Source organism: Homo sapiens, chromosome X (assembly GCF_000001405.40).
Source record: "Homo sapiens chromosome X, GRCh38.p14 Primary Assembly".
NCBI classification, from domain to species: Eukaryota; Metazoa; Chordata; class Mammalia; order Primates; family Hominidae; genus Homo; species Homo sapiens.
In genome coordinates, this window is record NC_000023.11 from 134,887,632 (window position 1) to 134,915,297 (window position 27,666).

The 27,666-nt window shown below is 40.8% G+C and overlaps 1 protein-coding gene across 6 annotated transcripts, besides 4 other annotated features; it reads right to left on the minus strand.

Moving 5' to 3' along the window:
• Positions 1–27,626, minus strand: MOSPD1 (motile sperm domain containing 1). Of its 6 annotated transcripts, XM_017029653.2 has the most exons (7): positions 27,551–27,626; positions 26,445–26,667; positions 11,649–11,903; positions 11,459–11,534; positions 9,186–9,403; positions 3,848–4,009; positions 1–1,561 (listed from the first exon to the last, which is right to left on the minus strand). In XM_017029653.2, exons 3-7 carry the CDS (start codon positions 11,800–11,802, stop codon positions 1,530–1,532), a joined length of 642 nt encoding a protein of 213 aa, XP_016885142.1. In that variant the 5' UTR covers positions 11,803–11,903; positions 26,445–26,667; positions 27,551–27,626; the 3' UTR covers positions 1–1,529. The 6 variants fall into 6 exon arrangements, with proteins under 6 accessions (XP_016885142.1, NP_062456.1, XP_047298214.1 ...); NM_019556.3 differs by lacking the exon at positions 26,445–26,667; XM_047442258.1 differs by lacking the exon at positions 3,848–4,009.
• Positions 20,788–21,082: a silencer, noted in NCBI's record as "tiled region #6850; HepG2 Repressive non-DNase unmatched - State 24:Quies, and K562 Repressive DNase unmatched - State 8:EnhW". NCBI's record gives its function as "represses a minimal TATA promoter and a strong SV40 promoter by Sharpr-MPRA in HepG2 and K562 cells {active_cell/tissue: HepG2 | K562}" and the evidence as "EXISTENCE:reporter gene assay evidence [ECO:0000049][PMID:27701403]".
• Positions 20,788–21,516: a biological region, named in NCBI's record as "Sharpr-MPRA regulatory region 6850".
• Positions 20,973–21,516: an enhancer, noted in NCBI's record as "H3K4me1 hESC enhancer chrX:134042634-134043177 (GRCh37/hg19 assembly coordinates)". NCBI's record gives its function as "activates a minimal SCP1, AML or CMV promoter by ChIP-STARR-seq in naive H9 embryonic stem cells {active_cell/tissue: H9 hESC(naive)}" and the evidence as "EXISTENCE:reporter gene assay evidence [ECO:0000049][PMID:30033119]".
• Positions 27,290–27,459: a silencer, noted in NCBI's record as "silent region_21016". NCBI's record gives its function as "represses an Ori minimal core promoter by ATAC-STARR-seq in GM12878 lymphoblastoid cells {active_cell/tissue: GM12878}" and the evidence as "EXISTENCE:reporter gene assay evidence [ECO:0000049][PMID:35858748]".
• Positions 27,627–27,666: the final 40 nt, after the last annotated feature.

Here is a 27,666-nt window from a genome sequence, read left to right on the forward strand (position 1 = left end):
TCAGGTCTCCATTTCTGTTTATTTTTTAAAGTAATTTCTGTTCTTTACAATGTGTTATTACACACACACATGTGCACTTGCACACACGTGCACACACAGGACTTGAGATGGAGAAACAAGAATAGCCTCCACACATCATTTTTACAAAGTTCAAAGTAGATTACATTTATGTGCTTTTCATTCATTACACAATGTACAGACATGATCCGTTTAATGACTTAGGCTCCTCACATGGTTAAACAGTGAGGATTTCCTATGGAAGACTAGACATAGAAGTTTTTAGAAGCAGAGACTGTTTTCTGCAAAAACCAACCTCAGGCATACATTTGTGTTTACATATATTCCTTGAGAATACTACAGTAGCAGTGCATAAGTTCATTCTGTAAAAAGATCTGAAAGATGATTTTCAAGAGACTCAATACATTGTGCTTTCAGGTAAAAATCCTTAGACAAAAGATCAGTTACTATGAAAATAACAGTTAAAACTGCATATGTGTTAGAGATCAGAAGAGGCTATAAAGAAATGTAAATAGTTGTGCTTAGGGGACTTTTTTGGCAAAGTTGTCTTAATAATAAATAAAAACTTAAAAAAAAGTCTCAGTGACTGATATAAAATAGACATAGCTATCAAGAGTTTCTTACACTTGGCTTAGAGTTTAAAGGTGAAAAATCATCTCCACATAAATCACCTGGTATCTGGTAATCCCAGTCTGGGTAAGTCAGGCAGGGAGGGGCTTGGAAGAAAAGATAAAGTGATTTTTCCTTCCTATTAACACAAAGCATTAACCAGAGGTAAAGCCAGGGTGAACCAACTAATTAAACAGATGCCTACCTTCCTTTAGAACTCTTAGACCAAAGAGAGAGGTCACCCTACTTCTATTAGGTTTTTTAAAAAAAAACCCCTATGATTCTTGGTGTCTGGACCACAACCTGTTCTGTAATTCACAAGATTAATTAAATATGTCCTCTCTTCTGTGAGACCCTAGGATAAGCATGATCCCTTAGTACTTTATGCTTTGTTTGCCCTCTACACATTAATGGTAAAACACTTATTTTTAGAAACACCATGGCAACCATTTATAATGATAGAGGGCAAGGTATAATTAACATAATAACGCTGATGTTTGTAGCTAGGGAATAAATGTCATTTTAGTTTTAGGCCGGTCAGTTTGCTCTTTTAGTCCTGTAACTTCGAAGCATACATGACCCCTAGCAATCAAAGTGAATTAGAAAAAAAGGTGAGAAAATAACAAATGTTTTAAAGTTTCTTACACAACAGGTATAGATATAAAAAGAATTTCTTCAAATAATTTCCTAGGTGTCACTCAGAAGCATCCTTGCTGTCTGTAAAATAATGTTCTGCAGTCCTTCAAATTAAATTATAATTTAAAATATATATTATACATTTGCAATTATTTGAAATCATTCAATAGTTTGTTGCATGTTAATGGAGTGAAATAGAGATAAAAGGCAGTCCACATTCATATTTTCAAGACAGATTTACTTCAGAAGTCAATTGAAATCCTTGCTCATGTTCTAAGTATGGCCATTGTGATAAGACCTGAAAGAAGAAAAATGGAGAACAGTTAAAGGTATGCACCTAACAGAATCTTTCATTCAATAAGCAATTGTTTGGACCTCAATGAACAAATACAACATAGCACATAGGCAGGCACTCTACCAAGAACCCAAAGTCAATTTGAATTTTGTTGATATCATAAAGAAGAAATCCAATTTATAGCAATGGGCAGTCACTGGAGAGATTTAATTAAATCACTAATGTCTGGCCATAGCAAATCTATCTATCAAACATACCTCCTACTTTATCCAGTCACATCAAACATAATAATAGCAGATGTGCCATTTTGAAGCATGGGTAAAGCCAGTGGACTTTGTTAACAGAAGCACAAAGAGTCTACCTGTATCCCAGGGCCCTAGGGCCACAAAGAGACAGAAGTATGGCATTCCTACTTTGCTTCTCTCTTTTGAAGAGAGAATATATAAAATATAAAATAGTAAGAATATGCTCAGTCCTAAATGAAGGATGATGAAAGTGTGATAAAAAAAAAGTACAGAGAAGGAGGATAATCACATGGGACTGGGGCAGTCAGAAAAGTTGCCCCCAATGATAAAAAGCTGCTTTAAAAGATGGACAGGGGCTAGGCATGGTGGCTCATGCCTGTAATGCCAGCACTTTGGGAGGCCGGGGCAGGTGGATCACACGAGGTCAGGAGTTCAAGACAAGCCTGGCCAACATGGCAAAACCCCGTCTCTACTAAAAATACAAAAATTAGCCGGGTGTGGTGGCAAGCACCTGTAATCCCAGCTACTTGGGAAGCTGAGGCAGGAGAATCCCCTGAACTGGGGAGGCGGAGGTTGCAGTGAGCCGAGATCCAGCCAGCCACTGCCCTCCAGCCTGGGTGACAGAGCAAGACTTTATCTCAAAAAAAAAAAAAAAAAAAGATGGACAGGAAAGAGAGAGAGAACGAGGAGATGGGCAGGCATTTCAGGTGAGGGAATGGCATGAGTAAGGGCCTGGAGAACCGGGCCGCTAGAGGAGCTTTTCCAGAATGAGTGAATAATCTAAAAGGCTTTATGCAGTGATTTACAGAATGAAGTAGCTAGATAAAATTGGCTCAGAGAGGTCTCAGATTGTGGAGAGTCTTAAATGCCAAGCTATGGCACTGAAGGTTATATACTTCATCCTATGGATTATGGGGAACCACTGAAGGTTTCTGACTAGGGGGTGGTTGTGAGAGCAAAAGAGAAATTAATCTGACAACATGATGGATGGTTGGGGGTGGGAATGAATGGGGGAAAGAAATAGGGAGAGAAGGAACACAGACAGAAGGGAGAGAGACAATCAAGATGATTTCAAAATAAAAAAGAGAGAGCGGCCAGGTGTGGTGGCTCACGCCTGTAATCCTAGCACTTTGGGAGGCTGAGTTGGGCGGATCACCTGAGGTCGGGAGTTCGAGACCACCCTGACCAACATGGAGAAACCCCATCTCTACTAAAAATACAAAATTAGCCTGATGTGGTGGTGCATGCCTGTAATCCCAGCTACTCGGGAGGCTGAGGCAGGAGAATAGCTTGAACCTGGGAGGCGGGGCTTGCAGCGAGCCGAGATGGCAACATTGCACTCCAGCCTGGGCAACAAGAGCGAAATTCCGTCTCTAAATAAATAAATAAATAAGAGAAAGCACATATGCCAGGGAATACTGAAAAGAGTTGGCATCTAAGCAAAGGTGAGAGGAGAACATGAGGAAAGTCATTCATCACCAGAACACTAATCCTCGACACATGGAAGGTACGGAATAAATATTTGTTCAATTGAAACAATTAACTCTAAGATTTCAAGCCAGGATGACTGAAATAGTGAATCAACAGGAAATAAGGGAATTAGTTTAAAGAGAAAGGTTCTGAACATGGTGGCTTCAAAAGTAAAGAAAAAATAATAATAAAAGAGAAACGTTCACAATATTAAACAAGGCTGCACTGTTCATCTTTATCACTGTATGTACTTTGTCTGTTTCCCTAGGAGCAATTCCTAAAAGTAGAAATGCTGTATCATGGAATGCATGCGTCTTACATTTTATACATGTTTTATGCCATTGTAAGTCAGCAAAAGGAAAATAATTGAATATAGTATCAGGTACTAGATAAATAAGCTAAAAAGAACTAAATGTGAGTTAAAAAAGTCTTCAAAGGCACCTGACCTCAATATGCTCTTGAAGCATTTCTTTACCTGTTCTTTGGGAAAAAAAAAAAAAATCAAACCACCACCACCCTACCACACACATAAAGCCCTACACATATGTCCCAAATGCATCTTTAAAACCCTTACCTAAGATATAAGCAGCCACTAATTTTTGATTCACACTTAAGTGGAGGTAGAGAGGCACCAGCGATTCCACATCCCCCAGTGTAGGCAGCATCAGGGCTGCAATGCACACCACTCCCAGGAAGACAGTTAGTAAACTAGGTCCTGAGGATACAGCTCTGTTTTCTGTAAAAAGACAAAAATCCCTAAGCTTCCTTCTAAAAACTTTAAGACAAAAGTTCCTTCACAAACACTGGCCACCACAGACCAGTATTCTGATTTTGTCTAACTTCTCCAATTGTTTCCCCATCATTTTTTCCATCTGAGAGTTAACTGCTGGGCTGATGTGGAAGCCCATGTCTTAACTGGTCTGAATCATTGCAGGATGGAATGCTGACGTGGCATTGTGAGGTAGTGAGTTCTTACTGAAAGGTGGTCACCAACTCCCCCGACCATCCCACCCTAGTCAGTAGAAAGTATTCAAGCATGTATCATCGATGTATGCACATTTTAAAATTATATGCACAAGTTCTGTACTGTGTTATGCTTAATATAAAACATACAAATAGATTTTTGGAAGAATGTGCTAAAAATAAATATAAATTGAAGTTCTGATACTTTCTTCCAGTACCCCAGTGGCTTGCCTGTGTATATTCAATTTGAGCCTGCCACACTAGACCTCCACTACCTTTATGAGAATATTTTAAGGAGCTCCCCAGATAGGTTTGATCCTAATAACTGCACATCCCGCTATCAATTTTGAAAATGTTAAGGAACCAAAAGTGTTTCCCTCTGCTCTAACCCATTTATAGTAAAGAAGAAAACAGCAGAAACAGTATCTGGCAAATACGCTAAGAGAAATAAGCCAGTCACAGAAGGACAAATACTGCATGATTCCACTTACACAGGAAATCTAAAATAGTCAAACTCATAGAAGCAGAGAGCAAAATGGGTGGTTGCCAGGGGCTGGAGGAGGAGGATAATGCAAATTGCTAATCAATGGGCATAGGTCTCAATTATGTAAACTGAGTGAGGCCTAGAAATCTACTCGACAATTGTTCCCACATTTAACCAATATTTTATTTACATGAACATTCATTAAGAGAGTAGATCTCATGTTAAATGTTCCTAAAATAAAATTCTAAAAGATTTTTAAAAAAGGCTGGGCACGGCTCACGCCTGTAATCCTAGCACTTTGGGAGGCCAAGGTGGGTGGACCATGAGGTCAGGGGTTTGAGAACAGCCTGGCCAACATGGTGAAACCCCATCTCTACTAAAAATACAAAAATTAGCCGGGTGTGGTGGCACGCACCTGTAGTCCCAGCTACTCAGGAGGCTGAGGGAGAAGAATCGCTTGAACTCGGGAGGTGGAGGTTGCAGTGAGCCTAGACTGCACCATTGTACTTCAGCCTGGGTGACAGAGCAAGACTCTGTCTCAAAAAAACAAAACAAAAAAGATTAAAAATGTTATCAGACCTGCTATTCTACAGTTCTGGCTCTATGTGTATAGTATACATACTCATATTTTTAAGAAACCCAATAACAGCATTTTCTGTCATATGGCTTTTCCCACTACCTTTCCTTTCATTGAAAGGAATAGCCAACAGCAACACAATCTTTGTGTTTCATTAATGAAATAATGCTGTTCATTCTATTATTAAATGGAACTTTTCTAAATTATTAATACCTTAGCTGTTGTGTGGAGTTTAACTGTACTTCATCAGAGCCAGAGAGGTGAAAACAAATTCAAATTTTATAGTAATTATTGTTTGGAATGAAACAATAGCAGAAATACCTAAAAGAAAAACCCCAAGTCTTGTTTCAGTTAATAGAGTACCTTTATAGTTATCTTTGTTGCAAGGATGAATTCTCAAAGAAAACAGTTATTTATGACAAGTACGCCATTCACTGCAAACCCACAAAAGATAATTTCAAATAATTTTTAGTAGAGAACATTTAGTATTTAGAGAAATTTGGAATTTTTAGTATTCGAAAAACATTTGCATAAATGCTTGAAATTTTTCAAAATGGAAAAAGCTTTTTTCCCTAGTACTACAGGATCGTTGTAAAATATGTTATAAAGATACAGAAAACGTAAATGTTCCTCCATAATTCCACCCTCCTAGAGCTAACACTGTTAACAGCTTGGTATGTATCCTTTTAGATTTTACAAATGCCCATATAAACATGTAGAAGAATCTTTTACATAAATAAGGCCATATTATACATACTGTTATATAACTGTTTTTTTTTCCTTACTTAGAAATATATTTGAAGCTCTTTCTATGACAATGTATAAGCATTCATCATTCTATCAGATCCTTGTAAATGTCTGCCTGGCACACTATCTTATGAATATTTATAATTTAATCAATTCCCAATTGATGGACTTTTCGGTTATTTTCAATTTTGTATTATTATAAACAATAATTAAGACCATAATTTTCTGAAGCCAGAGGGCACTAACTCAAACATTATAGCATAGACACAGCAGTTCATTAATAATGTAATTAAGACAAACCCACTAAGATTCAGATGTATCTTTTAAAATGGCTTTTTAATAACCTGAACTCTAGCATTTTATGAAAGTATACTTTGTAGGTTTCCCTTAATTTAACAGTTAAATTTCTGTTGAATGAAAAAAACTCACAAAATATACTCACAAAATGTACTTATGCACATAGGCAAGGTCTGGAAAGTAACATGGAACACTTATATAAGCAGATTTGTTAAGTGTGTGAGATTACAGGTACATTTTCTTATGTTATTGCTATATGTGTTTTATACAATAAACTTAAATTTTTTTCTCGTTTTTACTGACTTTCAATATATTTCAAAATCCAAATTTTTCATAATGAAGCCATCAACCATTTTCCTGCTAAAAGTGAGTCTCACAACACTGCTGCACCTCTAATACTTTAATAATACGCATTTGTTGAAATATTCTCTAAGCTAAGGACTTGTAAAAGTAATGACATTTCAAAGCCTCCCCAAAACAATCTCAATTAATTTTCAACATTTTAGTTCAGAAAAACTTAAAAACCTGAGTTTTCCACATGTTGGAAACTACACATAAATTCCTGTAAATTTAATAGACAGGAGACTAAATCAGTCATCATGATACTCTATTAAAGAAGAAAACTTTACTCAACTTACTTCCAGGTAATTAGGCACATTGGGGTAACTACCCATAAACGGGACATGTTGGCCAGGACTGTGAATGGGGCTCTGCTGTGGTATCACCTTTCCTCTAAACAGCTGTCATAGCCATGAAAACCTTGTAAGCCAAAACAAAACAAAACAAAAAAACCATTCCCACAGACCCTCACCAGACCTGAAGTCCAGCCTTCCTAGCTCAGCCCATTTACAAGTTCATTATGTAACTTCTCTGTGCCAGGCCCTGTGCTAGGTGCTGAGGATATAAAATTACTAGGAAAAGTGCCTGCCTTCATTGAGCTTCCTTACAGGAATGGATTAGATAATTTTTTCCCTCAAAACAGAGATCACCATGTGTTATGCTAGCATCACCTATCCTCATTCATCTGCCTACTCCAATTTTACTATTAGAAAAATTCTTTAATATACTTTAGATACCAAGGTTTGTTAGAAAACTAAAATAAGGCCAGGTGCGGGAGCTCAGGCCTGTAATCCCAGTACTTTAGGAGGCTGAGGCAGGAGGATTGCTTGAGGCTAGGTAAGACGAGCCTGGGCAACATAGCGAGACCCTGGGTGTGGTGACGAGCACCTGTAGTCCCAGCTACTCGGGAGGCTGAGGCAGGAGGATTACTTGAATCCAGGAGTTGGAGGCTGCAGAGAACTATGATGGCACCACTGCACTCTAGCCTGGGCGATAGAGAGAAACCCTTTCTCAAAAAATAAAAAATAAAATAAGACAATACATACTTTAATTATTTAGCCTTTTTAGCATGATCTTCACCTGAATTTTAATAAATTTAAAAATAAAAGGAATAAAGTTCTCCTTACATATATTTACATACACATATACCCCTAAATCTTACTCCTTATTATTCTTGGTTATTAAACCAATCTGTTAAATACAAAACTGAACTTCAAAGACCATTTTAAATTACAAGTGTAACTTCAAAAAACAAATACAAATTAAATGGCCTTCTTTGTACTAGAGGAAGTATTTTAAAAAGGGAATCTTGCATTTCATAACTATGTTAACTTTACAATATTGATCTGATAAAGTGACACTGGACAAAGGTTCTCTTTCAGCTTCAAAAGATGAAAAGCTGGTCCTGTCAGTTGATAATAGTTGCTGAGAATAAAACAATCCACTATAGGTTGGTGCAAAAGTAATTGCGGATTTTGCAATTAAAAGTAATGGCAAAAATCGCAATTGCTTTTGCACCAACCTAATAGCTACTACCTAGTCACTAGTCCTGGTATTACCAGAAAATCTAGATGGTCCCTAATGGACTAGGAAAAAACTCTTGGCTACAGTAAATCAAAGAGGCACTACTCCCTGTTATTGAAATGAACATCCTAAAACAAACAAACTGATACGACTGAATGTAACAGCAAGTAGATTTTTTTTAATCCTTCATAAAATGTTGCAATTTCAAGGACAGCTGCTATCATATTCATGTACCAGTATCACCATCAAAAAGTTTCCAGTTTCCCTGGTTTTCTATGGAAAATTTTATCATCCTCCTATTACAACAGGTTTAGGAGGAGATAATGAGAAGTTAAGAAGACGGGATAATGACGTCCAAAGAGTTGAATATGAGGGTAGTGTCAATGTTGAAAGAATATATCATAACACTTCTGAATATCTAAGCTGGAAGGAAATGAGGGCTGGAGAGGGATTCAATTAATAGCCCACAGGGGATATCATAATCTACTTAGTTTAATTAACTTCAACTTTAATGAGATTTTTTTTTTTTTCAAAATAATATGAACAGTGCACTAAGCTTGGCCTATTGCCAAACACAATCTCTCTCTTCCTTGGAACTAATTAAATGAGAAAGGATATAGGAAAGTCATGGAAACAAAAGTATAGGAACTGCCAAATTGTACTAGCTTCATAAAGTATGGTGCCTGCAGTCTTAGATATATTTATGTTTATGTTTAAATACAGATATATTTAAAAGGCTACAGCAACATCTACCCGCTCCTTACAGCCTGGTCCAGTGAGGGGTATTCCCTCCTCTCAAAGTCCACCTCCAGGCTTCTTGTTCTACTTCAGGTACCTGATTCTCTAGGTGCAGTTTTGAAGTAGTTGACCATGTTTGAAGTGGTAGATGATTTTTCTAGTAATTATTCTTAGCTGCCTGATTATTTTAAAGTTAATAATGTGTAAGACCTCAAAAGGGCTTTAAAAACAACCCAAAACTACCTGGTTGAAACGACTGCTCAAAAAATAAACTTTCAGTTAAATGTTCCTTTAATCTTTTTTCCTCTTCTTCCTTTTGTTGTTCTTTTGCTGATGGGAGAAGAGTAGCAACAACCTCTTTTCTTCCCAAAGCCTTCCTTTGGCTTTGCTCGGAAACTTGGAGACGGAATTTGTCTATTACACCATAGTGACAGGATCGAACATCTCGATGACGAATCACACTGAAAACAGCAAAAATAACAAATGCTGTTTAGATTTCTGGGGGCCGGCCAAACAGAAGGCAGTGAGATATTTTAATATATTAAACAATATTAACTGACTACAACCAAATACTCAAAAACAGAAATTTGCTAAGATGTTAAAAAATCACAGTATAACCCAAAAGAAATGAGTAATTCGGAAACATTGGATGAAAGCACATAATCTAAAACACAGAATAAAAGTCTTAAGCAAAAAAATAACAGGTAAAGAAAATTCCTTTTTGGTCAGGCGCAGTGGCTCACACCTGTAATCCCAGCACTTTGGGAGGTTGGGGCCTGGAGTTTGAGACCAGCCTATGCAACACAGAGACCCCGTCTCTACAAAAAAAATTAAAAATTAACTGGCTTGCTGGTGTGCGTGTAGTCCTAGCTACTTGGGAGGCTGAGGTAGGAAGATCCCTTAAGCCCAAGAGGTTGAGGCTGCACTAAGCTATGATCGCTGCCATAGCAAGAGAGCAAGACTCTGTCTTATTAAAAAAAAAAAAAAAAAAAAAAGAAAGAAAAAAAATTCTCTTTAGCAATCACATTTTTTTTTTTTCTGGATAACTCAGTGCAGCAACATTTACTAAATAGGAATACATGCAATTGTTTATTCCCCACAAACATCTCATAAATTTCTATTGCTACTTACTTATTGTTTAGGCAACAAACCTCGCCCTACACTTAAAATTGAATTCCATGTATGCAGGTAGAAACAAGCAATCAAATAAGTAAGTAATCCACTATTACCAGTGCAACAGAAGGCCAATAATACACCTCTACTTCTCTAAAGAGAAAAGAGTATACAGCACTGTAATTTTATTTTATTTTTTGAGACGGAGTTTCACTTTTGTTGCCCAGGCTGGAGCGCAATGGTGTGGTCTCGGCTCACTGCAACCTCTGCCTCCTGGGTTCAAGTGATTCTCCTGCCTCAGCCTCCCAAGTAGCTGGGATTACAGGCACCTGTCACCACGCCCAGCTATTTTTTTTTTTAATTTTTATTTTTAGTAGAGACGGGGTTTCACCATGTTGGCCAGGCTGGTCTTGAACTCCTGACCTCAGGTGATCCTCCCACCTCAGCCTCCCAAAGTGCTGGGATTACAGGCGTGAGCCACTGCACCCAGCCAAACACTGTAATTCTTATGGGTTTTCTGCAATTCCATTTATTTTATTTTGTTCGTACTAGGGAACACAAAACAATTAGGTCAAAGTAACACATTTATTTGGCAAGAGACTACATTTCTTTGTAATAGCTCTTGCTTACTGTGTACTGAATGAAAATTTTTAAAAATGTGCAAAAACGTTCTCAAAGATACATCATTTTATGGCTTTGAGCTGGTGAAAAAGTATTCAAAAGAAAAGAATTCTGCTTCTCATTCTCACAGAAGATTTAAACAAATACAGTGTACTTGGTAGCTTAAATTAAGGGCTGGTCAATGGATCCATCTGGTCACCACTAGTTCTAAAATAAAAATTAAATATGAACAGCTTGAACAATCATTTATCTGACACTCTAAGATGAAATTATCTGGAAGAGCTCAAATAATATTTTACAGATGAGTGGTTGCACAACTGCTTCCTGTTTATATAGATTAACTTCCAGGCTTTTAGTTGAATCACTTCAGATGAACTTATATTACCCTTGTTCTTAGACTGTAGTATTACATTTTTCCAAATGTCACTATAATAGCAGTATGTTCCAAGGAAAGCTAAATCCCCTATTATAGCTGGAGAAATTTAAAGGAATAAGTCAGAACTTTACCTTTATAAGCATCCCTGGTATGACTAAAACCACAACAATGAGAAAATGTTCATGGAGATACTAACATATACATGAGCTCCAACGTAATAAAATATTATTAAGTATTTGGCCGAATCTCTTAGAAACAATTTCGATAGACAAACTTTCGGCAAAAATTCAAAATATAATAAATGCCTATGTGAGAACAGCTTCAAGAAAATATCTTTTTTTTTCAAGTTAAAAACATAAATATTAACACACTTAAAACGTGTTACCAGGAATTGATCTTGACTTACATATCCACACAACACTGAGGCTTTACTGCACCTGCAGCATCAACGACAACATACTTATTTGGAGTAGTACACAAAACTGAAAGAAAAAGTCACAATGGCCATTAGTGTTTTTTTTTTTTAATTAGTTTCTACAAGTAAAAAATTAGTAGGGACCAGTTAAAAACCCAGAAAATAGAGCTAGGAGACTCACCTTTGAACTTTAAGGCAAACTCATAGGGATTGTACAGTGTCAACACTTGCTTATGTGTTGACTGATCATCTGCATAAAATATGAGCTCCGTGGGGAACACGAAAACAGGAAGATTTCCTTCCACTAACTCTGGTTGTCTTTTTTGTTGATGCATTGGCACTGAATCCCCCTTGCTGCAGTTTCTGTTTTTACAGTCTCAAATCTATTTTGGACTTTTCTTAGATTCAGTTAAAAACTCCAAAGCATTTTGGCAATCTAGAAATAGAAGGAGAAAGCGAGAAGAAAAGTGAATGATCCCAATTTTCATTAATCTATAGCCCCTACACAAAAAGTATATTTAGCATGCATTAAAACAGGCCCCTGAATCGGCCAGGTGCAGTAGCTCATGCCTGTAATCCCAGCACTTTGGGAGGTCGAGGCAGGCATATCACTTGAGGTCAGGAGTTCCAGACCAGCCTGGCTAATGTGGTGAAATGCTGTCTCTACTAAAAATACAAAATACAAAAATGCAAAATCAAAAATACAAAAATTAGCTGGGTGTGGTGACATGCCTGTAGTCTCAGCTACTCAGGAGGCCGAGGCAGGATAATCGCTTGAACCTGGGAGGTAAAGGATGCAGTGACCCGAGATCACACTGCTGCACTCCAGCCTGGGCTACAGAGGGAGACTCCGACTCAAAAAAAGTCCCCAAATCACTTAAACATGGCTTTTGACTTTTTCCCTTGACTTACTTGTATAGCTTTTACCAAATTATGCAAAGAAGTTTATACATGCTCCTTTCACATTGAGGATTTTAACCTATGATTAATAATCTAAATACTCAAAGGAATAAAGAAGTCTTTCTCAAATTAATGACCCCCTTTCAAAGAGGTGAGATCAAAGGGATATCGCTCTTTTTAAACCTCAGATTTTTTAAAAAGTAGAATAAATTAAGTATCGTCACAACTGATTTTGCATGAGTCCAGCAGAATTCTTAAAGACTAAAAAATAAACACAAAGTAAGTTTCCATGATTTCTGGAGAAAACCATGAGAATCATTTTTACACTCATGTCAACAATACTTTATTTAGTGCCTTCTTGGCAGCATGGGTGGGAGAGTTCTTTTAATCTTTTTTCTACTGAAACCAGAAACAAGCTAAAATGTCTTGAAAGGAGGCCGAATGACCACACATGCTAAGCAGTCCTTGGAATTTTTTTATGAAAATGTGAAGTCAGTAAGTAGGGCTTTGGCATGTGAGTGGCACTGTGCCTCTCCCTCCTACATCAAGTACACATGCTTTGTGAGAGCTATTCTCCAACTTCAGAGGCTTTTTTGGATTCCCTCTGGGTTCCTGAATATGTTCCAGATAGCTATAACTGACAGAAGTCTGAATGCCTGATAAGCGTGATGTTTCTGTATTTATTTCCTAATCTCATTATAATCAATATTCTTATTTACCAAGCACACCAAGTGTGCCTTTTTTTTTTTTTAAGAGACAGGGTCTCCCTATGTTGCCCTGGTTGGATTTGAACTCCTGGCCTCAAGCAATCCTCCTGCCTCAGCCTCTGGAGTAGCTGGGACTGCAGGCGTGCCCCCACAATTGAAACATAGCTTTTAAAAATAAAATGCAAAAGCTAAAATGTACAATCAGAGAAAATATCTGATTTTTACCCTGTGGATCACACCTTTAAAATAGACTATAAGCCATTTAACAGTTTCAAGTTCGGGTTCTCATACATTCAAAGAGAAATAAAACGAATGAATGATTTGGTTTTACCAGCTATTGAGGCTCGTATGCTCTGATTCTGATAGAGGCCTTTCCAACTTCTATCAAATAGGAGCTATATAGTCATGTATGCAAATATTTATTCTTTTCTTTCAGCTGGACATCTATTATATGCCAAGAACTATGTCAGAAGCTGAGCAGAGATACAAAGATGAATAATGCATAGGCTCTACCCTCAAGAAGTTCAAGTCTAATTGACAAGCAAAAATATTGAAGCTACCTCTATTATAATAGATACTTATAAGGATACCATGGTATATATGGTGCTAGAGAATCAGAAGACTACATGAATAATTCTACCTGTAAGAAAGGCCAGGAGTTGGCCGGGCGCGGTGGCTCACACCTGTAATCCCAGCACTTTGCGAGGCCGAAGCGGGCGGATCACTTGAGGTCAGGAGTTTGAGACTAGCCTGGCCAACATGGTGAAGCCCCCGTCTCTACTAAAAATACAAAAATTAGCCAGGCATAGTGGCGGGTGCCTGTAATCCCAGCTACTTGTGAGGCTGAGGCAGGAGAACCACTTGAACCCGGGAGCAGAGGCTGCAGTGAGCCAAGATCACACCACTGCACTCCAGCCTAGGTGATAGAGCAAGACTCTATCTCAAAAAAAAGAAAGGCCAGGAGTTGATATTTGAGGTGGTCTTGGAAGAAAAGAAGGGTACACACTTAAGTGTTGAGGGGAGAGCATTCAGACCAAGGGAACAACAAAGGCACAGAAACATGAAGGTAAAAAGGAAGGCACTTAATGCATAGGCTGCTTCAGATAATCATTCTACTTTATTTCCATACTTTATAGCATGAATGTAATTAACAACAGTGTCGGATGTGTTTTTGTTTTTTTGACTGAGCTGAAAGCGCCTATCAACATTTTCTTAGTAAAGATATCTAATATTTGTATAATTCATAACAGATTATAAACTTTTTAATAATTATATAGACTGAATGAATTAATATACTGTATGTAAAGCTCTTGAATAACACTTACTAAAGGCCAGGCAATGTTCTAAGTGTTTGTTGTTATTATTATTATTTAATTATGAAGAGACCAGACTGAGACAAAAACAAAAACAAGGTTGAAGCCTGGCGCCATGGTGGCTCACGCCTGTAATCCCAGCACTTTGGGAGGCCGAGGCGGACAGATCACCTGATGTCAGGAGTTCGAGACCAGCCTGACCAACATGCAGAAACCCCATCTCTACTAAAAATACAAAATTAGCCACGTGTGGTGGTGGGCGCCTGTAGTCCCAGCTACTCGGGAGGCTAAGGCAGGAGAATTGCTTGAACCCGGGAGGCGGAGGTTGCAGTGAGCCGAGATCGCTGGGCAACAAGAGCGAAATTCCGTCTCATAAATAAATAAATAAATAAATAAATAAATAAATAAAACAAAAAACCAAAGTTGACAGGCCTCCTGCCTCCTAGTCCAGTATTTTTTCCACTGTCTGTCCACTTCAATAAATAAAACTAAGGCTAGATGCGGTGGCTCATGCCTGTAATCCAAGCACTTTGGGAATCCAAGGTGGGAGGATTTATTGAGCCCAGGAGTTCAAAATCATCCTGGGCAATATGGCAAAATCCTGTCTCTACAAAGAATACAAAAATTAGCTGGGGGTAGTGGAACATGCCTGTAGTCCCAGCTACTCAGGGGGCTGAGGTGGGAGGATCATCTGAGTCCAGGGACATTGAGGCTACAGTGAGCCATGACCACGCCACTGCACTCCAGCCTGGGTAACAAACTGAGATTTTGTCTCAAAAAAAGAAGATAAAATAAAACAGAACTAAGATTACCAAGTTCCTGGGTTTATACAAAAAAAAAAAAAACCAAAAAAAAACCAAACTAAGATTATTCTAAAAGGCTTCCGATTAAATAATTCTAATTTTGCATTTTTATTTCTTCTACTCAAAAGCATACACATTTCTATTGGGATAATGTGCTCTCAGAAGTTTGATGTGTTCTCTTTTTTTTTTTTTCAATAAAAAATGGTAAGCTGTATAATTACTATCTTAGGAAGCATTAGGAAGAGAACATCCAAATTTGGCATCACAAAATTATATGCACCATCTCATTCTAAAACTCTGTCGAGATGAGAATTTAATTTAGGATAAAAGGTGGTATCTCTGATTTGTGGAGGATAGATTAATCAATAAATGCTGGCTAAATCAGGTATCTATCTAGAAAAAAAATAATTTATCTTTCACTCCTTAATCAGGGAAAATTCTAAACAGATAAAAGTTTTTTTTAAAAAGTAAAATTAAAAAATAATAATAAAGCCATAAATACTCTAGAAGAAACAATGAGAAAAACAAACAAAAAAACCTCAGGCTTTCTAACAGTGATGTAAAAACAGAAACCAAATTGTTTTTTTTTTCACTTAGAAATTGTCCCTGGCTGGGCACAGTGGCTCACGCCTGTAATCCTAGTGCTTTGGGAGGCCGAGGTGGGCGGATCACCTGAGGTCAGGAGTTCGAGACCAGCCTGACCAACATGGTGAAACGCCGTCTCTATTAAACATACTAAAATTAGCCAGGCGTGGTGGCGTGTGCCTGTAGTCCCAGCTACTTGGGAGGCTGAGGCAGGAAAATCACTGGAACCCGGCAGGTGGAGCTTGCAGTGAGCCAAGATCGTACCACTGCACTCCACCCTGGGTGACAGAGTGAGACTCCATCTCAAAAAAAAAAAAAAAAAAGAAAGAAAGAAAAAGAAACTGTTCCTGAAGGCCAGGCTCGGTGGCTCACGCCTGTAATCCCAACACTTTGGGAGGCCAAGGCAGGCAGATCACGAGGTCAGGAGTTTGAGACCAGCCTGGCCAACATGGTGAAACCCGTCTCTACTAAAAATACAGACATTAGCCAGGCATAGTGGCGTGCGCCTGTAATCCCAGCTACTCGGGAGGCTGAAACAGAGAATTGCTTGAACCTAGGAGGTGGAGGTTGCAGTGAGCCGAGACTGTGCCACTGCACTCCAGCCTGGGCAACAGAGCACGAATCTGTCTTGGGAAAAAAACAAACAAACAAATGAAAAACTGTTTCTGAAGACAGAAACAAACAAAAAATGATAAATTCATCTGTATAACTTTTTAAACTCTGCATGGCAAAAAAACTTTACTTCATAGAAAAGGGACATAGAAATTGTCCTTGAACTTACAAAAGGATGTTTAACCTCACTCACAGCAAAGGAAACCCAAACTAAAGCCATACTATGACACAATTTTTTACCTGTCCCATTAGTAAAACTCAAATTTTGATAGCATATGATGGGAACGATCAAGCATGTGCTTACATTGCTTGTGGGGAGGTGAATTGGCATAACAACTACATGTGCCAAAATTAAATGCACATAGCCTCAGTTCCAGAGATCGTACGTCTAGGGATTTATCTGGCATATATATTCCCCTTTTTGTGTGAAGTCATGTAGGTGAAAGGTTTCTCTGCAGTGCTGAGGGTTAAATAAAATGATTTATGTGAAACAACATGGAACAGAACTTGGCACCCAGTAAGAGCTAGTTTTTTGTTGTTAATAGCAAAAGACTGGAAACAAGCCAGGGGAGGTGGCTCACACCTGTAATCTTAGCGCTTTGGGAGGCCAAGGTGGGCGGATCACCTGAGGTCAGGAGTTTCAGACCAGCCTGACCAACACGGTGAAACCCCGTCTCTACTAAACATACTAAAATTAGCCGGGCGTGGTGGTACACACCTGTAATCCCAGCTACTAGGGAGGCTGAGGCAGGAGAATCACTTGAACCCGGGAGGCGGAGGTTGCAGTGAGCCGAGATCATGCCACTGCACTCCAACCTGGGAGACAGAGTGAGACTCCATCTGAAAAAAAAAAAAAGAAGATTGGAAACAGCCCAACTGTCCATTAAAAGAGGATTCATTAAATAAAGTACAGTCTATCCATTCATTGGGATACCAGATATCAAGAGGAGACTGTGTAGTTGGAGATGGACTGATCTTCAAGTGGTAGTGTTAAGTGAGAAACGCAAGGAGCGGTGCAGTGTGTAATGCATGCTGCCATTTGTATAAAAAGGGAGATAAGGCCGGGCGCGGTGGCTCACGCCTGTAATCCCAGCACTTTGGGAGGTCGATGCGGGCAGATCATGAGGGCAGAAGATCGAGACCATCCTGGCTAACACAGTGAAACCCTGTCTCTACTAAAAATACAAAAAAAAAAATACACCACGCCAGGCGTGGTGGCGGGCGCCTGTAGTCCCAGCTACTCAGGAGGCTGAGGAAGGAGAATGGCGTGAACCCGGGAGGCAGAGCTTGCAGTGAGCCAAGGTTGCACCACTGCACTCCAGCCTGGGCGAGAGAGACTCTGTCTCAAAAAGAAAAAAAAAAAAAAAAAGGGGAGATAAGAATATGTAAACCTATTATCTTGGATATGGGTGAAATTCTTTGGAAGGATATCCGCGTTTGTCCCTGGAGAGAGAAATGGGGGTGGAAGGAATTTTTCTCTGGATATCCTTTTGTATCTTTTGAATTCTGAAGTCTTTGAATACTTATTTAAAAAAAACGAATATTTAAAAAAAAAATTAAGTAACAACTCTACTAGGGCCTACTTTGAAAAAGGTGCCTGTTTTTGAAAACACAAGAGGGAATTTAGAAACAATGTGAAAAATCTCTGTTAACTGTATTTTCTAGTTTATAATCCTCTAAAAACATATTGAAAACCTTAAACTGTGGGCTAAACAGAATAATTTCGATTATTTAAAATAATTTACATGCAACAGAAACATAATGAGAAAAAGATTTAAGATAACTTGCAAACTTAAGAACATGTATAACTCTAATGTGAAACTATTTGTTTTAAAAGAGTATGAAATGGTTCATAAATCTGACTGGGAAGTCAAAATTAACCACACAGACAAATGCTAAACTCTTGGTTCTAACTTTAAGAAGAAGTTAGTCAACAGAGGTCAAAGTAGAAATTTTACTTTTACTATCTTTGAATAATGGCATAGTAGAAATTCTTTTTCTTTTAATTTCAAAGCTTTCTCTTTGTGAGTTGAACATGTACACATTTTCCCATGAATCACGAATAGGCTATCTCCTTGTTACTATAAAAGAAGTGTTTAATAATTTTTGAGCAGTTTACTATTATTTCTTTTCCTATCTCTGTTCCCATTTATCACTTTTTTTTTTTTTTTTTTTTTTTGAGACGGAGTTTCGCTCATTACCCAGGCTGGAGTGCAATGTCATGATCTTGGCTCACCACAACCTCTGCCTCCCGGGTTCAAGCGATTCTCGTGCCTCAGCCTCCCGAGTAGCTGGGAATAGAGGTGCACGCCACCACGCCTGGCTAATTTTTTTTTTTTTTAATTTTTGTAGAGACGGGGTTTCACCATGCTGGCCAGGCTGGTCTTGAACTCCTGACCTCGTGATCCGCCCACCTTGGCCTCCCAAAGTGGTGGGATTACAGGCATGAGCCACCGCGCCCAGCTTATCTTGGCTAAGATATAAGTTGCATCCTAAACTCCAACCAGTGGAAATTAGGGAAGAATTAGCACCAGGTCAACAGAGCAATATTAGCAACTGTGCCAATGAACATAATAAGGTGTAACACCTGCCTTGAATTGATAGTTTTCTGGAGACTAACACTTTCTCTTTGCTGCAGTCCATATTACAAAATGATAAAGTGCAAAAATCCTGGGGAAAGATTATATACTAAACTGGTAAAAACTTACTGCAAATCGGTTTATGAGGTTGCTTTCCAAAAGTCAAGTGCACACCAAGTCAGAGTTAGTTGGTTCCCACTTTTCTAATTTGACAGATGTGGGAAGCAGGCCCAGGATGGTTAAGAGACTTATCCAAGGTTGCACAGGGTATTGGTGGCAGAACTCTGGTCTCCAGGCTTCCACTTCCTTATACAGTCATCCCTTCTATGTCTCAAGTAAGTCCTGCCTCGGCCTGGCACGGTGGCTCACGCCTGTAATCCTAGCACTTTGGAAAGCTGAGGCGGGCAGATCACCTGAGGTCAAGAGTTTGAGACCAGCCTGGCCATCATGGTGAAACCCTGTCTGTACTAAAATACAAAAATTAGCTGGGCATGGTGGTGTATGCCTGTAATCCCAGCTACTCAGGAGGCTGAGGCAGGACAACTGCTTGAATCCGGGAGGTGGAGGTTGTATTGAGCCGAGATCGCACTACTGCACCCCAGCCTGGGCAACAGAGCGAAACTCCATCTCAAAAAAATAAAAAAAATAAAGTCCTGCTTCCCTGATGCTGACTACCACACATGCCCTAATCTGTAGCAATTGTCCCTGCTTATCAAGATCAGAGTTCTCAAAGGATGATCCAAAATTCAAGTCACAACTAAGTCTGCATTATCTTCATTTGTGTTTCCTTTTCAGTTTTATAAAGAAAAATCAAGAGACAATTTCACTTACTGAGTGGCACACACTATTTTCCTGATGATGAAACAGCTATAGTTGTCAGGAACTATTCATCAGGGCATTAATAATGAAGGTTTGCTGCATTCTTCCTCTCTGGACAGCAAAATTTTACTCATTTTTCAAAACCTAATTCAAATTCCCCTTCCCTGGCTGGGCACAGTGGCTCACGCCTGTAATCTCAGCACTTTGAGAGGCCGATGCGGGCGGATCACTTGAGGCCAGGAGTTCGAGACCAGCCTGGCCAACATGGCGAAACCCCGTCTCTACTAAAAACACAAAAAAATTAGCTGGGCGTGGTAGTGCACACATGTAATCCTAGCTACTCAGGAGGCTGAGGCAGGAGAATTGCTTGAACCAGGAAGACGGAGGTTGCACCCAGGCTGGAGTGCATTGGCACGATCTCAGCTCACTGCAGCCTCAAACTCCTGGGCTCAAGTGATTCTTCCACCTCAGCCTCCCAAGTAGCTGGGACCACAGGTAAGTGCCACCACTCCTGGCTAATGTTTTTAAAAAATTTATGTAGAGACAGGGTCTCCCTATGTTGTCCAGGCTGGTCTTGAACTCCTGAACTGAAGCAATACTCCCACCTTGGCCTCCCAAAGTGCTGAGATTACAGGCATGAGCCACTGCACCCAGCCAGAATGGAATATTTTGACATTTGTTTTGTGTGCATTAATTTTGACTTCTCAGTTAGATTTTAGGTATAATGCCATATTGTTGTTTGGTGGGATGCTTTTGTTTTTTGCACCCCTCACAGGCCCAAGGTCAGTGCTGGGCACTTAGCAGATAGCTAAAAGCTTATCAGTTATCCTACAGATGTCTACTAATAACTGTCTCCTCCACTGGGGAACATTCCCCCCACCACTCACCCGTCATAGCTGAACACACTTTGTCTATACAAGACAAGCAAGGGATCCTAATTAGAGGAGCAGTAAATCTTAAGTGGCTGCTCACCATGGGTTGGGGTAAGAGGAGAGCAGAGAGAATCAGCACTCCCAGTTACCTCTCTTCCCCTCTTCTCCCCTCCCCTCCTTCTGTTTCCCTCTGATTTTCCCTGGCTCTTCAGTGCCTAACTGTGCCAGCAAGCATTTAGAAATCTGAGGCTCCAACACACTTCTGACCTCACAGGCAGAGAGCGCAGCTGAGATCTGGTGATACAGGAAACTGTCTTGTCTTCCTCCCCTGTACCAAAGGCACAGAAAAACAATCCTGAATGAAATTATAAAGAAAACCTTATGTGTGCACACCACCTTGTGACCAGTTTGCAAACTACTCTGACACAAAAAGACGCATAAACACTCTGAGATATTCACACATGCCTGCCACTACCATCAATCCAAGGAGACCAGTACCCCAAAGTATGATGGTTTTTTCCATTTTCCTCACTTTGCATTGACCAGAGGAATGAAAAGATAAGACTTTGAGATAAACAGGAATCCATTTTACCACCATAGATACAAAACTTAGAGACCGTTAAGGAGCACTGAAACCACTTTCATAGCATTTTCTCATTTGCACCCTGCAACCTGTTTTTAGAAAGAGGAGGCTGCAGGCCGGGCGCGGTGGCTCACGCCTGTAATCCCAGCACTTTGGAAGGCCGAGGCGGGCGGATCACGAGATCAGGAGATCGAGACCATCCTGGATAACACAGTGAAATCCCGTCTCTACTAAAAATACAAAAAAAAAATTAGCCGGGAGTAGTGGCGGGTGCCTGTAGTCCCAGCTACTCGGGAGGCTGAGGCAGGAGAATGGCGTGAACCCGGGAGGCGGAGCTTGCAGTGAGCCGAGATCCGCCACTGCACTCCAGCCTGGGCGACAGGCGAGACTCCTCAAAAAAGAAAAAAGAAAGAAAGAGGAGGCTGCAAGAAGCAAGTGAAGTAAGTGGATCGAAGTTTGAAAACAGTTAAGGATGATTCAAAGTACAGCCCTCACCCAGAAACTGGTGACCCATCTGCTTGGTCACAGTGTACCAGCTACTTAACTATCTCTCCCTGGCTCTTGCTGTTTACTCTGATTAAGGTTCCCAGCTCCACCTTCAGGTCAGCTCCCTTTTATCTGGGCACAGGGGCTATCTCCTTCTTCCATACTCTGTGCAATCCTTGCCAATGACCAACTAAATACTAAATTGTTAAGAGCGATATGTTATTTTCCTTTAGTCTCACTAGCATTAAAACCTCCTTCCCTCCCACTTCATAAACTCAGTTGGCCTCCTCTGAATTCCCAGTATTGTTAATTGGGGTTTTTAATTGCTGGCATTTTCCTAAAGTCATAACAAGTGATGTTCTAATGTTTACTTTCTACTTTAATGTTCATTGCTTAATATTTGACACTTTTGTTTTTATATATTTTCTAGATTTTTGGTATGCTTTGCTATTTTAACTAATGAGATTGACTGCTATAAATAATATGTAGTGATTGGCTCTTCTATATTCAAGATTTAAAAGTTGAGTAGTATACATTTTAAGATTTTTAAAAAAAAGAATAACCTAATGTCTCTTTGAAAACAATTCATATTTTCAAATGTGTTATTTACAACCCGGTTATAATTAATGTGTTGTTTCCATGTTTTACAACATCTCAGTATGTCATTTCAAGATGCGCAATTCTCAAAGCAAAATCCATATTATATGATTATATATATATGTTGCTACATGAAACACTCAGAAGTTTTAGAATCACAAATTCATGGCCGGGCGCAGTGACTCACGCCTATAATCCCAGCATTTTGGGAGGCCGAGGTGGGCAGGATCACCTGAGGTTAGGAGTTCAAGACCAACCTGGCCAACATGGCGAATCCTCATCTCTACTAAAAATACAAAAATGAGCTGGGCATGGTGGCGGGCGCCTGTAATCCCAGCTACTTGGGAGGCTGAGGCAAGAGAATCACTTGAGCCCAGAAGGCGGAGGTTGCAGTGAGCCAAGATCACACCACTGCACTCCAGCCTGGGCAACAGAGCGAGACTCTGTCTCAAAAAAAAAAAAATCACAGATTCACTCAACAAACATTTCCTGAGCACTTATTATATACAAGGCACTGTGCTAGGGAATATGGAGACAAGATGAAAATATTTTGTCAGCCTTCCAAAAACTCAGACTAGCAGGAAAAACAGATATACAGCAGTAATTAAGATATGATGTGAGCAGTGTTAAACTGCTGATAGATATAAAGTGCTCTGGGAGCATAAAGAAAGTGATCATCTGCCTTAAGGCTAGTCTGCAGTAGAAGTGGAGGGCCGGGTGAATTCCAGGAAGAATGTGTGTAGAAGCATGAAAGGGATGCTTAAAATGAGCTTTGGCATTGCATATGGTTAAAAACAGCAAATATGGGGAGAGGGGCAAGTTTCGGCTAGAAAGGTAAGTTAGAGGCAGATTGTGCAAGATTTTGTGAACGTTTGGGGGTTTAGACTTGATTCCCTATGCCAGTGGTTCTGGCTTGTTAGAAACACAAATTCTTGGTTCTCACCCTAGACCTACTGAATCAGAAATTCCGGGACTGGGGCCCAGCCATCTGTTTTAACAAGTCTTCCAGGTGATTCCGATCCACACTAAACTTTGAGAACCACTGCTGCAGGCAATAGGAAACCACTTAAGGATTTTTTCTTTTTTAAATATAGGGATAAGGTCTCGCTATGTTGCCCAGGCTGGTCTTGAACTCCTGGCCTCAAGCAACCTTCCTGCCTTGGCCTCCCAAAGCACTGGGGTTACAAGTGTAACCTACGATTTTGCCTGGCCTTAAGGATTTTAAGCACAGAACTGACCAATTCAGATTTGAAGTTGGACAGGGGTTGCCATTGACCATTCAAGCACAACACCTGACTCCTGAGTAGTTACTATAAAAAATTAAAAAACTGTTGAATGAATGTGGCATGAAGCAATGATGAGGGCCTAGGCTAAGGCTGCAGGAATGGAGAAGAAACAGATTTTAGAGATGTTTTACATGTGACCCAATTCAACCAGGTGACTAGGATATATCCATACAAAGGTGTAACTGAAATGGTTTTTATATAAAAGAAACCTGTAATTCTGTGGAATATACTAACTGCTAGGCTTGAAAAAAGTGGTCCTCATAGAACCTGGAAAAAGGGGAAGTCAAGAGCAAGTTCTTTGTGTTTCCATATAGTCAATAGCAAAGCTTGCCTTGGCTTGTACGTGAGTCTTCTGGTCTGTTTGGCAGTTCTCACTGAGAGTTAGCAAATTGCCATTCATGCTCATAGAAATCTTTTGAGTTTGGTTGGTGTGAATCAATCAGTGAGACTGACAATTTCTTGATGTGCCAATGAAATTTTGAACCTGGAAAAGCTGAAAACCAGACATTGGTTCTGGTGATCTAACCAAGGTACTGCTAAAGTAAGACACTGCTAGAGCCTTCCTTCTTAAAAAAAATTCTAACTTCATCACTAATAACGTGGTCTGCCTAATCCAGGAAGAAGCTGGAATGAGTAAAAGAATCAGACTTTGTTTTCTGCCCTGAAGGTCAAGAAAGTCAACTGAAACTGTTATTTCTAATTTTGGAGGCAGGATTTAGCTGAGGCCATCTTCAATTTCCCGATGAAAAGAGGTATAGGTCAACCTATATGGTTAAAATACCTAATGAGAATTTTGCACGGTGCAATTCCTATTTCTTTTTCTTTTTGAGACAGAGTTTCGCTCTTATTGCCCAGGCTGGAGTGCAATGGTGCCATCTTGGCTCACCGCAACCTCTGCTCCCAGATTCGAGCGATTTGCCTGCCTCCACCTCCTGAGTAGCTGGGATTACAGGCATGCGCCCCACGCCTGCCTAATTTTGTATTTTTAGTAGAGTCGGGGTTTCTCCATGTTGGTCAGGCTGGTCTCAAACTCCCAACCTCAGGTGATCCGCCTGCCTCGGCCTCCCAAAGCTCTGGGATCACAGGCGCCTGCCACCATGCCCAGCTAATTTTTCTATTTTTAGTAGAGATGAGGTTTTGCCATGTTGGCCAGGCTGGTCTTGAACTCCCTCAGGTGATCCACCTGCCTCGGCCTCCCAAAGTGCTGAGATTACAGGTGTGAGCCACCACTCCCCACCTTTTTTTTCTTTTTGAGACAGGGTCTTCCTCTGTCACCCAGGCTGGAGTGCAGTGGCATGGCTTCAGCTTAATGCAGCCTTGATCTCCCGGGTTCAAGCAATCTTCCCACCTCAGCCTCTCAAGTAGCTGGGACCACAGGTGCCAAGCCACTATGTTCAGCTAATCAAAAAAAAAAACTGGCCAGGCGCAGTGGCTCATGCCTGTAATCCCAGCACTTTGGGAGGCTGAGGCGGGTAGATCACGAGGTCAGGAGATCGAGACCATCCTGGCTAACACGGTGAAACCCCGTCTCTACTAAAAATACAAAAAATTAACTGGGCGTGGTGGCAGGCGCCTGTAGTCCCAGGTACTGGGGAGGCTGAGGCAGGAGAATGGCGTGAACCCAGGAGGCAGAGTTTGCAGTGAGCCGAGATTGTGCCACTGCACGCTCCAACCTGGGCGACGGAGACTCTGTCTCAAAAAAAAAAAAAAAATTTTGGCCAGGCACAGTGGATGACGCCTGTAATCCCAGCACTTTGGGAGGCCAAGGTGGGCAGATCACCTGAGGTCAGGAGTTCGAGACCAGCCTGGCCAACATTGGGAAATCCCTACTAAAAAATACAAAATAAAGTTGGCTGGGCGTGGTGGCTCACGCCTGTAATCATAGCACTTTGGGAGACCGAGGGGGGGCAGATCACTTGAGGTCAGGAGTTCGAGACCAGCCTGGTAGACATGGTGAAACCCTGTCTCCACTAAACATACAAAAAGTAGCTGGGCATGGTGGTGCACTCCTGTAATCCCAGCTACTCGGGAGGCTGAGGTGGGAGATCGCTTGAGCCCAGGAGGCAAAGGTTGCAGTGAGCTGAGACTGCACCACTGCACTATAGCCTGGGTGACAGAGCAAGACCCTGTCTCAAAAAATATATATATTTTTGTAGACATGTAAAATGTCTATATATTCCATTTTAAACTTCTTTAAAAACAGAAAAAGAATAGTAGCAAATTACTTTATTGACCTATTAGGGAATGGAATAGCTTCTCTGATCATTTCTTAACTGTTAGTTTTCAGAAAATGGAGTTAAATGTAAAAGCTCTCTAAGAAAAGAAAAATAAAACACTTGGGAAGCAAATGTACATAAACAATTTAAGGAAGAAGCATGCATTGTTTTACAAGCTATTTGTTCTATTGTCTATTTTTGCCTATAAAGGAGTAACTTTATACTGAATATTGTCCATTACATTTAATTATATATTATTAATACATGTATGGAGAATCTATCACAGCTATCCCTTACAGAGTTGAAAAATTCCAAAATTTCAACTCTCCTAGTATTTAGGTATACCTGTTGTTTTAAGAGTTCAAGAAATGCTTCAGAAACTAGTTTAATCTCGCATCCTGATTGGGTATGTAGACGTGAACAACTTGAAAGACACATTTGGCCGTTTCCTGTTTTCCAAACTTCCCACTACCAACTATAAGTGTAATCTAAAAGTTGGTATCCACTCCATATTCAATATCCTGTATATAGTCTTTTCTAGGCAAAGAGATTTTCCAGTACTCAGAGTAAGTGTGGACAAGATATTCACCAAGAATATTAAATCCCATGTGTGCCTTGCCTGAAAAAGTAGACTTTCTCCTTTCTGTCTGGAATTCACATTAAGAATGCAATGCACTCTGAAAGAACAGGACTGCTTTTTAGGCAAGATCCAAAGGACACAATTTTTCACGTTTGAGTCCTCTTCTTATCTCCCTCAAAGGTCAATTTTCACTTAGCATTTGTCCTCTCGTTCCCCGACGTGAGATCTCTCAGATTCTACTGGGGCAGATCTGCTACTTCAGCTGGAGAGGGCAGATGTCAATTACTTTCTTTCAAAGGGGGAAACCGCAGAACATTGATTAAGGGCAGGAGGGCTGGAGAGGGAGTACAAAATGGACTGTCCTAGGATTTCAGCTCCACCTGACTGGGGCCCAGCCTTCCCAGCCCACGTCCCCACACCGGCCGCTCCATGTGAAACCGGTCATGTGAGCCTGTTTACAGCAGAGCAGCTGGTGCAACCATCAAGATCCGTGCAGAGGTCTGGGGAGGGGGAAGGATACAGGCCACGCACCCCCTACACCCTACCCCATTTTTCCAAGAAGGCGTTCGCTCTCCCCTCCCCGCCTCTCCACCCTACTTTCATCTCCCTCCAGGCAAAGAGAGTAAAGCTGAGGCTATCCCGGGACGCCTCGCTCCAACCCTGCCGATTTCCTTCCAGTTGCTCGCTGGGGCAACCGGCTAGGCTGGAGGAAGGGCGAGGACGGTGTCACCCCAAACGGGGAGTCAACTTCCCTCCCCCAGCCGTCCTCGGTGCATCCACCGAAGAGTTGTCCCGCGAGCCGCATCCCCGGGGCAACCGAACTCCGTCGGGCAGGCACCGAGAGGCTCCCGAGCCTGCCTTTGCCCGGGCAGGAGCGAGCTACACACCAGCTGGCCAGACCCTGGGGCCGGGCGCCGCGGGCGGCGGAGCCACCGCCAGTCACACACGGGACAGGAAAGGATCCCCTCCGTCTCCTCCCCGCCGCCCACCCGCATCCCGGCGCCGCGGAGCCCCGCTGTCAATCACAGAGCCAAGCTCCGGCTGTGCGGATGGGTCATTCTTTGGCGGGGGGCTCTCAGCCACGTAACTTCCACATTTTCCCGAAGTCAGAGGAAGTGGGTGACGGGACGGTGGGGGACTCTCACCTCGGCAACACCGGCTTCCTCGGAAAGCAGCTGCGACTGCTCCTCCGCTCCTTTGTCAGCGTCTCTAGGCTGCACTGCCTGCTGGGATACCGGAGGACTCAAATGCCACCTCTCTC